An 18214-nucleotide genomic window follows, 5' to 3' on the forward strand; every position below is an offset into this window, starting at 1 on the left:
GCAGGGATGTTATCTTATTTTCAATTTTTATATTTAGGACAGTGCCTGGTACAATGGTAGATTCTCAATATATATTTGTTGTGAATATACCAAAGTCCTACTTACATGTCCAGACCCTGGGCAGCTATGAGTCTATACAGAGATTAAAAAGGCAGGTTGTCTATGTCCTTTAGAATGAAAACATAGTGGTGTTAAGCCCATGGACTTAGGATTCCCACATGATTTCAAATCCAGGTTTTGCAACTCACTGGCTCTGTGATCCAGTGTATTCGATGGCCATCCCAAAAACTCAGTTTCCTCAGCTGTAAAATGGGGACTGTCATAGGTTTTTTTTTTTGAGGGTTACATGAGAATATAAACATTTATTTTATTAGTGAGCTTTTATTGAATTTGTTGTTTTGCTAAATAATACACAATTCCACCCAAATAAAAGCTTATGCCCTTGATGTTATAATGCAAAGAATTCAGCATAGTGATCGACTCACAGGGAACACTGAACACATGGTAGCTATTCTTATCAGAGCTATTATAATCCAAATATATAGTTGCAGTGAGAAAAATCTATAAATTAGGAGGTAAAAATGTAGAAAGCAAGGAGAGTGGACTCGTTGTGAGATATATACATGTGCACACAAACACAGAGTGAATCTAATCTGTAACAAATTCCTTAGGGAAATTCCATCACATCCCATTAACACGGTCCCAAAGGCAGGAGCTGGGCTGATCTTGACATATTTAATATCTTTGAAAAAATTCTGAAACCATAATCATCTCAAAATGGTATACAAAAGCAAGTCTATCTGGGAGTTACATGCAAACACATTTTACCTTAGTTCTAGCTTACATAATTCTTTAATCATCATAATTCCTAGTGCTTCTCTTAAAACTTTTGACCTTAAGAGGATGATTGACAGTTAGGAAAGGGAGAACACCGCTCAATAGGGTTTTGACAGTTAGGAAGGGAGAACACTGAGGAACAAGTTCTCAGTGTGTTTTTACACACTCATTTAAAAGGCAACAGTTTAATAATTCTAATTCATATATACTTCTATTAATGCGATCAATAATTCATAGAAATTCCTCAGCAGCATTTTTAGTGACAACAGAAAGGGTAAAATATTTCTTCTCTTCCCTTTGCCTTCCTTTCCTCACTTAGTCATGCCTGGAGCCTGGAGAGCACACAATTTCAAGAAAACAGTTTCCATGGTGATTCTTCTTTTGAGTACCCGACTGTATTTTGCTCTTTCTGGAGTGAATTAATGCTTCTTATTGCTTTCATGCTAAATATATTGCAGATTAGATTTGATTTCCTTTGCAGTGATATAGTTTTATTGCGAAAATGGAAAGTAAAAACACAGCATGAAGAACCTATGTATTTCTGCCACTACACTGTCAGAAGGCTGGAAAAAAAATCCGTTTCAGAAAAAAATAACCAGCCATAGGGAAATGGATGCAGGTATCTGGAAGCTAGGATATGCATGCATGCATCTAAATGTTGGAAAGCCTGCCTTAGAAGATAATCTTAATTCTTCTATAAGTTGAAGGTGTTATAAGTTGACCATAAAACACTGAGTTACAAGACATATCGATTTTTAGTGTACTATCCTCTTCTCAGCACAGAAAATATATATCATATAGAACAAAGAAATCTTCAAACCCACAATATGGCACTTACTTTATATTTTATTAAGGAGAGCTTTGTTTCCTACTAAAGCTAAATAACTGGCCTTCTTTCACTTGTTAAAATAGTTATGTGACCTTCCTAAGATTCCCATAGCACCCTGCATTTCCTGACATAGAATTTATCACATGTACTTACTATCCACTATGTCCATCTTCCTCACTAGACTCTAAAAGGGCAGGGCCCATGTCTGTCCTGTTCACTGTTGTACCTTGTGCCTAGCATGGCACATGGGAAGCTGAAAATTATAACAAGAAAACTATGAAAGCTAACTCTGAGGCACTGAGGATTTTCTTGTAAAGCATCAGTGGGCTGGTGTGCTGGATAGAGATGGAATCTCATGTACATTATAAATACTCAAATCTTAGCAGCAGCTATTGGTTTTGATAGTCAGTCCTACCTGGAGCCTTGATCATTACTTGTCTTTGAGGCACTAAGGAGTTAAAGGGAAGAATCCATCATGCCAGAGGAGGAGGAACAAAAAGCAGGCACCATCCTCTAAAGCCTCCTTCTCCACCACTGCATCCCCACCTCTCAGAGCCTGGAGCCAAGCACTTACTGGGCGTCAAACAAGCAGGAAGAAAACTAGGATTTTGGCCAATTTAAGCCAACTAGGGAGTATTCAGCATCTATGCCAAACTAGATATGACTGTCCTAGGTGCTGCTGAGGACAAAGAGTGGAACACAGGACTTTTTGGCTCTAGCGAGTTTATAGTCTCAAAGGGATTCTTTTGGGATTGTGCAGAAGGGGAGTATGGCCAAGTATAAACACACACACATACCCTGATTATTAACAATAGTGACCATATTTATTGAACAACCCATTAGGCACACTTCTAAGCACCACATATGCATGAACTCACTTGATCCTCATAGCAAATCTGTTTATTCCTATTATTTTCATTTGACATATAAAGAAATTGAGACTTTGAAAGGCTAGGTAACTTGCCTAACATCCTAAAACCAGTTAGTAGTGGAGCTAAGATTCAAACCCACACAGTCTAGTCCTTGAGTCAATATCTTAACAACAAAACCATTCTGAATCTCAGGCTCATGGGATCTGATCTGAGAAATCTACTTTACAAAGGATTTCCCACAGTCTCTTTTGCTGTATAAATTATCCAAAGTCGCTTATGTTCATAAATGCTCCTGGGGAATCATCAGGATGCATAGAGGGCCATATACAGTTCTGGATTTCAAGAGGAAACCCAGTTCTGTGGCTATGTAAATGTTAGATTTGCATGGCTTTGTAACTAGGATACACATTATGGTAAGATTTCTCCTGGCTCAAGGAGGCGTTTCCATAAGAAGGGACAACTGGAGGATTACTGAATGCTAGGTTTCATCCTATAGAAGAGAGACACTCTAGTGTTTTGACACACTCTACAAAGGGGTTCTTTTGGAACTTCATTTTCTAAACTACCCTTCAGGGAATTCAAAATTGCTCAGCTGTATGCTGAATTTGATTCCACAAAAAACAGTGACAAGAACAAGGTCTCATTGTATTAGCTCACAGATATTTCCCTTCATTTCAGAGTGTGGATTCCTACAGCTATGTTAAACATTTATTTAAAAAAAAAAAAGGACAGGAAGGATGTGGATGAAGTCTTAAAGGGTAGGATTATGAGAGGTGTTTTTTTTTTACTTATTTAAAAATTTTATTTTTAATTGATGAATAATTGTACATATTTATGGGGTACAATGTGATATTTCAATATACATTTACATTGTGGATGGATTAAATAAAGCTAATTAACATAACTATCACCTCATATTTATCACTTTTTGTGGTGAGAATATTTTCAAATCTACTCTTTTAAGTGAAATAATAAACATTGGAGACTTCTAGAAGGTGGGAAGGTAGAATGGGGGTGAGGGATGAACTATTACCTATCAGGTAGAATGTACTCTATTTAGATAGGTGCAGTAACAGCCCGGACTTCACCACTATGCAATAGATCCATGGAACACAACTGCACTTGTACCCGTAAGTCAAAAAGAAATTTTAAAAAAATTATAAAAAATAAACAAAATACCCAAAATCTATTCTTTTAGCAATGTTGAGATATATAATACATTATTAACTATAATCACCAAGTTGTGCAGATCTCTAAAACTTCTTCTTCTTGTGTAATTGAAATGTTATATGCTTTGAATGACATCTTCCCATACCCAATTGCTCCCCCTTCCCCTATCTCAACCCCCAACTCCGAAAACCAGCCCCGGGTAACCACCATTTTACTTTATACTTCTATGAGTTTGACTTTTTTTAGATTCCACATATAAGTGAGATCATGCAGTATTTGTGTGCTTGGATGGAGTTTAAAATTTTACTTTTGCTCTTTTGAGATAATTCTATTTCTCAGTTTTCTGTAATAAGCATGTATAATTTTAAATACCACAAAGTAACTCACTCACTTTAAAAAACTTTTAGTTTCTCTGAATATGATGGCTAGGGAAACACTTACTTTTTTTTTTTTTTTTTTTTTTTTCAGATGCAATGATTTCCCAGCAAAAGGAAAGCAAGGACAGGGAATGGAGAGATACCAATGTAGCAAATGTTACCTATGAGATCTCAGAATCAGGAAGGGGAAAAATGTTTTCTTCTCAGTATTATCCATTCCACTGTGTGACTCCTATAAACAGAATATTTTTAAATAAGACCTTTTCCCCATGTTTAGTAATAAGAGAGATTATCACTTATTAAGCAGCAAAAACATTGAATAGGTGTGTTTATTTTTTCTCTCAGAAGAGAGAATGGGCTCAGAGATTATGTTCTGTACATGCTCAGAGTCACAGAGTTAACAGATCTCCGTGGGACTGCTGCACTCCACATCCTGTTGGTTAATACTTTGCTCTCCTGTCTTCGTGTGGAGCAAAATAATCCTCCAACAGTTGGGAAGTGATATGGTTTGGCTGTGTCCCCACTGAAATCTCAACTTGAATTGTATGTCCTAGAATTCCCATGTGTTGTGGGAGGGACCCAGGGGGAGTTAATTGAATCACGGGGACTGGTCTTTCCCGTGCTATTCTCATGATAGTGAATAAGTCTCATGAGATCTGATGGGTTTATCAGGGGTTTCCACTTTTGCTTCTTCGTCATTTTCTCTTGCCGCTACCAAGTAAGAAGTGCTTTTTGCCTATTGCCATGATTCTGAGGCCTCCCCAGCCATGTGGAACCATATAAGTCCAATTAAACCTCTTTTTATTTCCAGTCTCAGGTATGTCTTTATCAGCAGCATGAAAACAGACTAATACAGCAAATTGGTACCAGGAGTGGGGTGTTGCTGAAGAGATACCCCAAAATGTGGAAGCAACTTTGGAACTGGGTAACAGGCAGAGATTGGAAAAGTTTGAAGGGCTCAGAAGAAGAAAGGAAAATGTGGGAAAGTTTGGAACTTCCTAGAGACTTGTTGAATGGCTGTGTCCAAAATGCTGATAGCGATATGGACAATAAAATCCAAGTTGAGGTGGTCTCAGATGGAAATGAGGAACTTGTTGGGAACTGGAGCAAAGGTGACTCTTGTTATGTTTTAGCAAAGAGACTGGTGGCATTTTGCCCCTGCCCTAGAGATTTGTGAAACTTTGAACTTGAGAGAGATGATTTAGGGTATCTGGCAGAAGAAATTTCTAAGCAGCAAAGCATTCAAGAGGTGATGTCAGTACTGTTAAAGGCATTTAGTTTTAAAAGGGAAACAGAGCATAAAAGTTCAGAAAATTTGCAGCCTGAATATGCAAAAACCCATTTTCTGGGGAGAAATTCAAGCTGGCTGCAGTAATTTGCATAAGTAGCAGGAGCCTAATGTTAATCCCCAAGACCATGGGGAAAATGTCTCCAGGCCATGTGAGAGACCTTCATGACAGCCCCTCCCATCACAGGCCCAGAGGCCCAGGGGGAAAAAGTGGTTTCCAGGACTGGGCCCAGGTCCTCATGCTATGTGCAGTTTAGGGACTTGGTGCCCTGTATCCCAGCTGCTCCAGCTGTGGCTGAAAAGGGCCAACATACAGCTTGGGCCTGCGGTTTCAGAAGGTGGAAGCCTCAAGCCTTGGCAGCTTCCATGTGGTATTGAGCCTGTGGGTGCACAGAAGTGAAGAACTGAGGTTTGGGAACCTCCACCTAGATTTCAGAAGATGTATGGAAACACCTGGATGCCCAGGCAAAAGTTTGCTGCAGGGGCAGGGCCCTCATGGAGAACCTCTGCTAGGGCAGTGTGGAAGGGAAATGTGGGGTTGGAGCCCCCACACAGAGTCCCTACTGGGGTACTGCCTAGTGAAGCTGTGAAAAGAGGGCCACCATCCTCTAGACCCCATAATGGTAGATCCACTGACAGTTTGCACTATGTGCCTGGAAAAGCTGCAGACACTCAATGCCAACCCATGAAAGCAGCCAGGAGGGAGGCTATACCCTGCAAAGCCACAGGGGCAGAGCTGCCTAAGACTCTTACATCAGTGTGACCTGGATATGAGACCTGGAGTCAAAGGAGATCATTTTGGAGCTTTAAAATTTGACTGCCTCTCTGGATTTCAGACACTTGCATAGGCTCAGTAACCCCTTTGTTTTGGCCAGTATCTCACATTTTGAATAGCTGGATTTATCCAATACCTGTACCCCCATTGTATCTAGGAAGTAACTAGCTTGCTTTTGATTTTAAAGGCTCATAGGTAGAAGGGACTTACCTTGTCTCAGATGAGACTTTGGACTGTGGACTTTTGGGTTAATGCTGAAATGAGTTAAGACTTTGGGGGACTACTGGGGAGGCATGATTAGTTTTGAAATGTGGAGACGTGAAATTTGGAGGGGCCAAGGGCAGAATGATATGGTTTGGCTGTGTCCCCACCAAATCTCAACCTGAATTGTATCTCCCAGAATTCCCACATGTTGTGGGAGGGACCCAGGCAGAGGTAATTGCATCATGAGGGCCAGTCTTTCCCGTGCTAGTCTCATAATAGTGAATAAGTCTCATGAGAGCTAATGGGTTTATCAGGGGTTTTCACTTTTGCTTCTTCCTCATTTTCTCTTGCCGCCACCATGTAAGAAGTGCCTTTCACCTCCTGACATGCTTCTGAGGCCTCCCCAGACATGTGGAACTGTAAGTCCAATTAAACCTCTTTTTATTCCTAGTCTTGGGTATGTCTTCATCATCAGCATAAAAATGGACTAATACAGGGAAATTAAACTTATATCATTAAAAAGAGAGGTGATCAGGGAAGCCTGAATTGGCATGAGGAGTCTGACCAGGAAATGTAGCCAAAAGATATTCTCTGCATTCCAAGAAGAAACCGATGAGGCCTTCGAGGCTCACAGTGGAAAGGGTTAGAGAGGAAGATTCAGCCATGTACGAGGTGTGAGTTTGGAGAGAAAAACACAGATTAGATGTATCTTCCTGCTGAAGCCATACACAACACACCAGCTGGCTCCTTTTCCAATCCATGCTCTATCAGCTAATCCAACAATCATATTTTGTTATTCTTCTCATAAATAAAATGTTGTATGTGTGACAAAGACATCCCTGACAGGAGACTGCACTCCAAGTAAGTTAGAATGAATGGTGACAAAAATGGGATGTTTTCAGGTATACAGAATAATTGCCAGTTACTGGCACTTAAAATGGCTGCAAAATCTGTGGTACTGCTGGGTACCTGATGTTTGCTGCAGCCTCAGGACTCTGATGCCTGGACTTTTTCAGGGTCTTATAGTATCCATTGGCTTTCTGTTTATAGTGCTAATGGAAAATTAAAATTATTTTGCAAGAGACCTTAACTATACTGTACTATGAGTACTTTATGTGGCAGAGAGAAGGCCAACTTGCATTTCTGTATATTCTTCTCCTTTCCCTCTTCATTTTCCGTGGCTTCCCGTAGAGTTTAACTGACTAATTAAGAGCTTGGGCTTTGAAGTCAGATGGATCTGAGGGTCAAAGCACATTTCTGCCATCTATTAGCTGCAAAACCTTGGGAGAGTCAGTCACCCTCATTCTCAATTTCCTTCTCTGTAAAACAGTGAAGAAAATCTTTCCACTTTTCATGAAGGAGGTGTGCAGATGAAATGACATAATGCAAATAAAGGAGCTAGCACACTGCCTGACATCTGATAAATCCTCAATAAGTTTTAGGAAAACAACAATGTAACACAACTGACAAGAATTTGGACAGAGTGGGTATGTCCATTGAACTTTTTTTTTGTCTTTCCTCTATGAGAAGTTTGCCATCTCATCATGGGGTCATATTAATTTCTCTAACTATATTGTTAGCTATAGCCTTTCTTTTTGACCCCAAAGTTAGAGCGTAAATATCTCCCACTAACTTGATGATTAAGATAAGGTCCAGGAACTTTTTCCCGTTTACGGTTTAAAAACAACCTTCTGTGGAGATTTTTGATGGAATGTAGGGATATTTATGACTCAGGCCTCCTGGAAAAGTCCTTGATGCTGACTCATTCATTATCACAAGAAAGGAGGAGGCAGCTGAAATCACCACTCATTTATTCTGCTTCTAACTTACGGTGAAAGGTCAAAGGTAAGTCACTCCACATAGGGCTGAGTATGAGAATAAGAATTTCAATAACTTCTTTTGACCACAAGAGAAAACAGCATTTCTAATGCACATACATTGATAAAAATTTTTGCAAGGACCTCTTTAATACAAGTGCTATAGCACTGATAAATGATAATATTTAGTCTGAAGCCTCAGGCTTCCAGCTACCAATACACAGAAACTACGGTTTTTCCACAGAGCAAGTGAAAACCAATGGGAGGATGGACAAAAATAGAAAGGAGGCATGATTTGGAATTTCCACAGTGACTATGGCCTTGAAATCAGGAACAAAGGGCAATCTTGCAGAGGTATAAGAGGAAATATAAAAGGTTTTGTAGAACAAACCTGGAAGTGAATTCCAGTTGAAACCATGCTCATGGTAAAACATATTTTTACCACAAACAATAACAGCATTAATAGCACTGTCACCATCAGACTATAATAGGCAACAAATACAACATCAATAAAATTTATTGTATGTAAAAAGCTTAGGAATATGCAAATCAATAGAAGAGGAATACTACTAAGTAACAAGTATTTGAGTACTTTGTGTCAAGTGCTCAGCTACAAACTCTAAATGATTTTTTCATTTACTCCTCAAATAGCACTATGAGATTGACTCCACCTCCATATAGACTGTAGCTGGGGCACTCCAGGCTTATAGATGTTATACAACTTGTTCAAGACCACACAGTTAATGAAGGAGGCTGATTCTAAAGCCCATCTTCTGCTATTGCTGCTTCAGCAAAGTTGTGTTGAAAACAATGCTATCTATTGGCCATAAATTACTGATACACACTCACGGCAAAAATTATTTTTACATATTTAACATTATTCTTGGCTCTAGATACAGGATATAGGGGAGAATATGGGCCGAATTTGGACTTCTAGGTCACCATGAACTCTCAGCATCACTTCCTTTACAAATGTAAATCAGTGGGAGGTGCTGTTCCCGCAATCTGGTTACTCATATTCTTCCCTAAATATGCAAGTAACCCACTCAGTGCAAGTTATGTGGGAACATGGGATAAAACTTCCAGTATTTCCAAAGTACAGGGCTGGGTGGTCAAAAAACAGTGGCAGTATGGGACTGCTAAATGTTATTTGGTGCAATGCCAACATAAATAGTTTTGCAAGATATAAAATTAATTGGGGGTGAGGGGCTTCTTCCAGTTTCAACACAGCAGATACCCCAACAGAACTACCCTTGGCCCATATTTTAAATAAATGAATAAGCTCTCTAATTATAAATATTCTAAATGAGTAAATAGAAGACTACCCATTAACATTTGGCTTTCAGTAAGAAGTATGTGAACTAATACAAGTAGACTTGCTAAAGCTTGAGACTAGAGAGAGAAGATGACAGGATACTGAATTCCCATATTAAAGTTGTTCTAAGCTTGGGCTAGAGCTTTAGACTAACCTCCCTCCAAGTCTAGAATTGGCAACCAGTTTGAGAAGGTCATAAGTAGATCTGGGGCAAGGAAAACAAAACCACACACAGACACACACACACACAAACACACACACGTCATTTATATGGTAGCATAGGCTATAATTACTATCATGGGTGAATTCAGCTTACCAGGACCCTACTCAAGGTCTTTGCAATATATGTGCTGGAAAGTACTGATTTTGTATTGAATTTGAGTCATGACAATAGCAGCAGCAGCAGTAGTAGTGGTGGTGGTAGTAATAGTAGACAATAATAACGGCAGTAGTAGCAGTGGTGGTGGTAGTAATAGTAGTGGTAGTAATAACAGCTAACATTTATTGAGCATTTCCAGGAATTGTTTTAAGTGCTTTACATATATTACCTCATAGGGTTGTTGTGAAGATAAAATGAGTTAGGTTTTTTTTTTTTTTTTGAGACAGGGTTTTACTCTGTTGCTGAGGCTGGAGGGCAGTGGCATGATCACAGCTCACTGCAGCCTTAACTTCCCTGGCTCAAGCAGATCCTCCCACCTTCGCCTCCCAAGTAGCTGGGACTACAGATGCACACCACCATACCTGGCTAATGTTTTTATTTTTTTGTAGAGATGGGGCCTCCCTACATTGCCCAGGCTGGTCTTGAACTCCCGGGCTCAAGAATTCCTCCTGCCTTGGCCTCCCAATCTGCTGGGATTACAGGTATGAGCCTGGCCATTAGCCATTTTTAACAGATGGAGAAACTGTGTTAAATGCCCTGTATACAATATCTCATTCAGTTCTCATAACTACCTATCTACTTTATTATTCCCACTTTGCAGGTGAGGAAACTGAGGCACAGACTGGTTACTTATGGTCCTACAACTCAATAGGTTCAAGAACTAGAATTCACTTCCAGGATTGTTTGATTTCAAAGCTCATGTTCTGAACTGCTACATTACAGTTTTGGTACCAGTATTACCCCTCATCCTGGCCATATTCCAGACACCCCACCCCCTGGCCATGCTTCTCTCTCCCACTCTGTCTGTCCTCGTGAGACTGAGATGCAGCATCTTTCAAACTGAGACCCTCTGCTGTCAAATTGGATAAAATCAATGTCTACCTCAAAGTGCTGGTGTGACAACCAAATCCTATAACGTATAGAGAGGATTTGCCTGGTACCTTCCATATAAAGACCTGATGATACTTATGTTTTGGAATTCTATTAGACTGGTGCAAAAGTAATTGCAGATTTTGATGGCAAAAGCTACAATTACTGTTGCACCAACCTAAATCATCACTTTTATTACCCGCCCCTTTCTCTGCCAATAGCATTTCCTTCCAGGGATCAGAAGGAAGCTGAGGATGAATTTCTCTAGAAGAAGTAAGAAGGCCAAGGGTTAATGTGTAAGAGATGAACTGAGCTAGATGAGAGGGAAAGGAGAGGTGGAATTGCTTTGAATTTCATTGCTAGGAACCGCGATCTTTTTTATTATTTGTATAAATCACTTGGCTGTGAAGACACCACAGGCCAAGCCTCCGAGTGTGCCGATGATAATAAATTGGGTAGCACAATAAATAACAGGTAAAATCAGGCTGCCAAATGAAGCAGGATTTAGATCATTTAAATCCCAGGCTATGAGTTGTCAAATCCAGTTTAATACTGATAAGTGTGGGATAATAACTTTTAGCAAACAGTCCCCTCCCACCAAAACCCCCCCCACAATCCTTCTACTCTCTTCTCCCACCCCTTGCAAACAGACAGAGAACCCTGAGGGGATTTGCAGAATGAAAAGGCATGGTATATACTGACCAGATATGAGTCCAAGTTATTACATAATAATCCCAGAGCCTCAGCTTGGGCTGAGAGCAAATAGGAAGAGCTAATAGAATGCTGCAAGGTTCGATTAGCTGCAAAGGAGATTCTAAATCAGAGCAGGTTTTATATGATTAAATTGGATGGGGGAAAAAAAGAGTCTCACACTCAGGTATAATGGAAAAGTGGAAAGGATAAGGGAAATATAAAACCATGGACGTTGCTGGAATGGCTATGGAGTGGCCTGAGGGTAGAGTCAACGCTGAGGGACACTTGTCAAAACAAGAGACAACTTAGCCAGCAGTTCTCAGTAGCTGTGACTGTTCTTACAAGACTCACACCCACATTCAGAGATATAGCAGCAGGATCCTACCTGATGACACTGGAATTTCAGGAATAAAGAGTCATCTATTGCTTGATTTGATGATGATAACCTATTTCATTCATTCAACAAGTATTTATTGAATACCAAATATGTGGTGGGCATTATTATTTATGATTGCATAAAATAGACTGTGATGGTGACTGATTTAGTTTGGCTGTGTCCCCACCCAAATCTCATCTTGAATTGTAGTTCCCATAATCCCCACGTGTTATGGGAGGGACCAGGTGGAGATAATTGAATCATGGGAGCAGTTTCCCCCATCCTGTTCTTATGAGAGTGAGTTAGTTCTCATGAGATCTGATGGTTTCATAAGCAGCTTTTCCCTTCACTGGGCACACATTATTCTCCTTCCTGCCTCCATGTGAAGAAGGATGTGTTTGCTTCCCCTTTTGACACGATTTTAAGTTTCCTGAGGCCTCCCCAGCCATACTGAACTGTGAGTCAATTAAACCTCTTTCCTTTATAAGTTACCCATTCTTGGGTATGTCTTTATTAGCAGCGTGAGAACAGACTAATACAGTGACAATAACTAACAACTGAGCGTTATGCCCTGCCACATATTTTACATGCATTTGCTCCTTCAGTCATCACAGAAATCTTATGATCTAGTTGTTATTATTACCATCATTTTAAAAATGAGTAAACTGAGGCCCGGAGAGATAACTAACTTGCTCCAGATCGTGCAGGAAGAAATGATGCTGACATCCAAACCTCATATGTCTAAAGCCCATCTGCTTTAACATGCCTCCAAATGAAGAAGTGAATCATAGCAGCCATCGTAAGTCTTGAGGACATCTCTGCCATCTTCTTCCCAGCCCCCAGCACCACCCCCTTTCCTAGGTGTGTACATGGGTACATCCCACAATTGGTATTTGAACTAAAGTGAATGAGAATGTTCTGACTCCGGTGTAATCTGTTAATTACTATTAATACCACCATGAGGGCACAAAAGCAGGATTGCAGCTTTGTGTTTTCATCCCTGCTCAGTCATTACCTAGTGGTATACATTTCTGGATCACCTTTGGCATCTCTAGTTGGTTCTTTTTAGAACCTATAACATACATTTACTCTCTAACCCAGGACTGTTCAATAGAAATAATGTGAGCCATATATAATTTTTAATTTTCTAATGGTAACATTTAAAAAATAAAAACAGGTAAAATTAATCATATATAGCATTTTATTTAACTCAATTTATTGAAATATCCTTTTAACATGTAATGAATACAAAATATTACTAAGTTATTTTACTGTCTTATTTTCATGCTAAGTCTTCAAATCCTGGTGTGTATTTCATACTTACAGCACATCTCAATTTTGACTAGCCACATTTCAAGGGTTCAGTAGCTACTGGGGACTTCATACTGGCAGAGAGCTTTAGCTGCACTGTGAATGTTCATTGACTTGTCCTGATTAGGACAAGTGCCTTCTAGGCATATAGGAGCTGTGCCTTCTAGTAGTATTTTTTGGGTGTCTACTTCATGCAAAGACCTAGAGTGGGCATTTTGATACATATTATGCTTCATCTTGCCAGTAGCTTTCCAAGAAAACATCGTTGGCTCCACATTACAGATAAAGAGCCTGAAGAAAGTTACTGGAAGCTCCAAGACTGTAGAGAGTATTTACTTTTACCTCTTTAACACTTAGCACATTGCCTTGCACAGAGCATGATTCAACAAATATCTATGGAATCAATGGAAGGTTACTTGTCAAACCTGCAGAAGAGCTGGGATTTGAATCAGGTATGCCTGATTTTAAAGCTTGTACTTTTTGATCCATTCCGCTTTTTTTTGCCACATTAGTAATATACTAATTTGCCCCTAAGTAATATACAGTGAAGAATAAACAATGCTTATTTAGTATATAAGCCTTTCATCCCAGTGAAAAAATTTATAAATGGGAAACTCCAGTCAGGTGTTATATTTATGGTGGGTGTCACGGTCTTCTTTGAGTGTATTTGGTTTAACAAATGTTGTTGGAGGCCAGGTGTGGTGGCTCACACCTGTAGTCCCAGCTACTTGGGATGCTGAGGTGGGAGGATCACTTGAGCCCAGGAGGTGGACATTGCAGTGAGCTGAGATCACGCCACTGCACTCCAGCCTGGGTGACAGAGTGAGACCCTGTCTCAAAAAACAAAACAAAACAAAAAAAACGTTGTTAGAAACCTACTCAGACCTGGGGACTATGTTCGACCTTGAAGGTACAAAGACCATCAACACATGATTGTCACTCTCAGTGTGGTTTGGAAGATATGCCATAGAGTGTTTAGTACAGTTAGGTGATATAAAAAATCTTAGCTTCGGGCTGGGCGCGGTGGCTCACAACTGTAATCCCAGCACTTTGGGAGGCTGAGGCGGGCGGATCACGAGGTCAGGAGATCGAGACCATCGTGGCTAACACAGTGAAACCCCGTCTCTACTAAATATACAAAAAATTAGCCGGGCGTGATGGCGGGTGCCTGTAGTCCCAGCTACTCGGGAGGCTGAGGCAGGAGAACGGCATGAACTTGGGAGGCGGAGCTTGCAGTGAGCCGAGATCATGCCACTGCACTCCAGCCTGGGCGACAAAGTGAGACTCAGTCTCAAAAAAAAAAAAAAAAAAAAAATCTTAGCTTCACAGAAAAACTAGTTGGAAGTGACTTTAAACGTCATCTTATTTTATTCATAATTTGGTACTAAATTACATACTAGCAAGATTTCACCTGGGGAACTCTTGTATTCCCAACAGTAGGTTCTTGAAAGGAGGGAGAAATACATCTTTACTCCCCAAAGTATTTTGCACAGTGTTAAGCAAATGACGGTTGAACAACTCCTAGTTAACTGCCCTCAGCTCTCTGTCTCCTTCTGTGTGTACCAAGGAACCAAGAGTCAGATTCCTCATGGGCAGAGAGCACCTTGGTCAGATGTCGTTAAAGTTCTAATTATAGACCATACTTCTCAGGGAGGATATAGGTAGAGTTCTTTATTCTAGCTTATACTAGAGAACAATAAAACTAATTATACTGAGGGTTTTTTAATCAGATTAATTCATAAATTAATTCAAATATTTATTAACTATTAGTCATTAGTTGGTGTGACTAGAACTGTGAATATGATAGTCCCTGCCATTGAGGATATTACTGTCTGGTGAGGGACACAGACTAATGAAGACACATACATTGTAATATAATGCAATAGGAATTAAGATAAGGATAACATCTAAGAAGTGCACCTATTTTTTTTTTAAGAGACAGGATCTCACTGTGTTGCCCAGGCTGGAGTGTAGTGGTGTGATCACGGCTCACAGCAGCCTTGACCTCCTGAGCTCAAGTGATCCCCCATCCCCCGAACCTCTTGAGTAGCTAGGACTACAGGTATACACCACTGCACCCAAATAGTTTTTATTTATGTAAAGACAGGGTCTCAACTATGTTGCCCAAGCTGGTCTGGAACACTGGGGTTCAAACAATCCTCTTGCCTTGGCCTCCCAAAGTGCTGGGATTACAAGTGTGAGCCACTGTACTTGGGAAGAAGTGCATCTAAATGGAATTTAGAGAAATTAGGGGAAGCATCGTGGAGAAAGCATTCCAAACCCAGTGTTAAAAGACAAATGAGAGTCAGCCTGGCCAAAGGGCAAAGGATGGGGAGGAAAGAATGCCAGGGGTGGGGGACAACTCATATGAAGACTCATAGAACATGGTACATTTGGGGACCAACAGAGATTTCAATGAGACGGAAGCATGGAGTGCCAGGGCTGGGCAAAGGAAGGACACATGTTCAGAATATATTAGAGAAGTAAACTTGAGGTTCATGAGGAAGGTCTTTGTGCATGATAGGAAGAGGATGCATCAAAGATTTTAAGGAAAGAAGCTACGATTATAATTTAAGCACATTTTACTCTAGCCCTGCTGTGTTTCATGTACTTCTCACATTCCATGATCACTATTTATCCATCTGCTTCCATTTCTATCCTGAGATCCTTAAAACAAGGGCTCCTATGTTTCTCTTTGTATCACCAGTACCCCAATGCAGTGTCTGCTACATACTTGATGCTTAATACTTATTTTAATGAATAATGTCTGTGGGAATCCTTTGTAGATTTGAGGGAACTCAGTCTGCTGAGGACATACTACCAGGGAGTATCCTTAACCTAGATTCCTTGGACCTCTTGAAAATACTTGGAAAAATGTGGGTGCGAATATGTGCATTGGTTTTAGGAGTGAGATATTATCATTTTCATCAGATTCTCAAAGGAACCTAAGACCTCACAATGATTGCAAAGCACAATAAATGGGGATCCTTGGGAAATGTAGTTTGGGAGCCCTCTCTAGCTAGAAAAGACTTCTCAGAGGTGAAATGCTAAATGGTGGTTCTCACCAAAGGTAGAAAAATGAATAGGTGAAATGTTGATGTGACCTAACTTTTTCCAAGTGAAAGAGGTGTACAAGTGATAAAAGAGAACAGCTCTGTGGTGACAAGATAATGTTTGCAAGAAAAGAGAAAAGAATCTTGGAGATGATGGGCAATTTCCCTTATGTCTCCTAAGTTACTAAGAGCACCTGATAGTTAACCCAGTCTTTAAAGAAGAGTGCTCCAGGTAGAGGTGTAAATAAGGAGCTTTGAAACCACCATGGGAAGAGGCTGTTGTAAATGAAGGGCTCTTGGAGTCAGAGAACTCAAAGAAAAAGTTGTTACCTCTGGAAGAAAAAGGTCTTATGGAAGCTACCTCCCTCTTTCTTTTCCACAAATTTGGATCTGCCAAATTAATATTTTAAAATGAGATCACACACACACACACACACACACACACACACACACACACACACACACACAGATAAAAGTTCTTGATGGATGCCATTAAAATATATAGGGTAATTCCATCTCAGTGCTGAAAACCTGATGATTTTTACTCACACTGTCTGATTATTTTTTCACAATGAGCATATTTTTTCACAGATGAACATGAAAAAAAATTCCATTTTGAAAAAATGATGGTAGGATAATAATGCAAAAATTAGTGTTCTAAAAGAAAGAAGATCATAGGAGGGCAGAGTGCTGCTCAAAGTGTGTCTCATAGGCCATGAAGCTCACAATCACCAAAGGAACACATTAAAAATGCAGATTCCATCCCAGCTACTCAGGAGACTGAGGCAGGAGAATCACTTGAACCCGGGAGGCGGAGGTGGCAGTGAGCTGAGATCGTGCCACCGCACTCTAGCCAAGCGACAGAGCAAGACTCCGTCTCAAAAAAAAAAAAAAATGCAGATTTTTGGGTCCCACCCCAGTTCTACTGAATCAGATTCTTTAGGAATGGGGATCTAGGCATCCGCAATTTGAAAAATTCCCCAGGTAATTCCTATGCTTATCACAGAGATTTTGAAAAAACCTAGTTGATAAGGATGGAGCACATGCAGTAAGGAAGGTTCTTGTCTAGCAGGCAACCCCCCTTTCTCCATGTACATATGTGCCTTGGACACTAAGAGAGTACAGGACAGAGATGAGCTTAATACAGTGTCTTAACCTAATGAAACTGATTTTTTTCACCTTCTAAAACATTTTCTTATACATTAAAAATGTACTTATAATCTGAAGTTGGACATGTTGGTGTCAGGGGAAGGTATAAATTATGAACTGACAGTGCTGCATATTCATAAAAATCCCGCCTTTCTAGGAGTGGAGGGTGAAACACTCCCGGTGTCCTTGTAGATGGCATGCTTCTTGGACACCTAAGGATTTTTCTACTCTCTCACCCCTCTACAGGGCAAATGGGAATCCATAGCTAGGGGTATAATACGAAGGGCGACCGCCTCTCGGGACGTGGGGACAGAACTCAGAGCTCCGAGAATCATGCCATCTCAAGAAGGACTGCGTCACCACCTGTCAGGTTTGTGAGAGCTGCCACTCCTGCCTGTGCTGGGAGGCCAGATTCTGATACTGACAGTACACAATTTTAGGCCACATAACTTTTAATGTAGTCTATCATGTCATATTTGATACATCCTTGAATGTCATCCTAAATTATTTTTGAAGCAGAGTACAGTAAAAATATTCTGGTTCAACAAGTCTGTTTTGACAGATCGATATTAGCCTAGTATCCAAATATAAACAGGTGAACTGAATGCTGTTTCTATGCCTTTAGGTAAGAAATTATATTTGTGTTTGTGTAGGAAGACTCGTCTGGGTCTTGGGATTTTCTTAATCGAGCCCATTAGACTATCTTCTTGTAATTATCTCAGGGGCCAATCTGTCTGTGTAATGGGCTCTGGAGGAATCAAACCTTCACGTTCTTACAAAGGAAAATGTTATGTATGTGTCAGAAAAAAATGTTTTGAAGAATTACTGGCTAACCATCTCAACAGCCGCCGGGGGGAACTTTGCTGTGATACTGCAGGAAATTGTTGGATTTGAGACTA

General features: G+C 40.2%; 1 protein-coding gene across 10 annotated transcripts in view, besides 1 other annotated feature; it reads right to left on the reverse strand.

Moving 5' to 3' along the window:
* The window catches only part of PPP2R2B (protein phosphatase 2 regulatory subunit Bbeta), a 500779-nt gene that overhangs the window by 143248 nt on the left and 339317 nt on the right, over positions 1-18214 (reverse strand). The window lies entirely within an intron of this gene.
* Positions 7474-8673: an enhancer, noted in NCBI's record as "CDK7 strongly-dependent group 2 enhancer chr5:146111026-146112225 (GRCh37/hg19 assembly coordinates)". NCBI's record gives its function as "activates an origin of replication core promoter dependent on BRD2, BRD4, P300/CBP, MED14 and CDK7 cofactors, with strong dependence on CDK7, by STARR-seq in HCT116 cells {active_cell/tissue: HCT116}" and the evidence as "EXISTENCE:reporter gene assay evidence [ECO:0000049][PMID:35650434]".

This window comes from Homo sapiens, chromosome 5 (assembly GCF_000001405.40).
Source record: "Homo sapiens chromosome 5, GRCh38.p14 Primary Assembly".
Taxonomy (NCBI): Eukaryota; Metazoa; Chordata; class Mammalia; order Primates; family Hominidae; genus Homo; species Homo sapiens.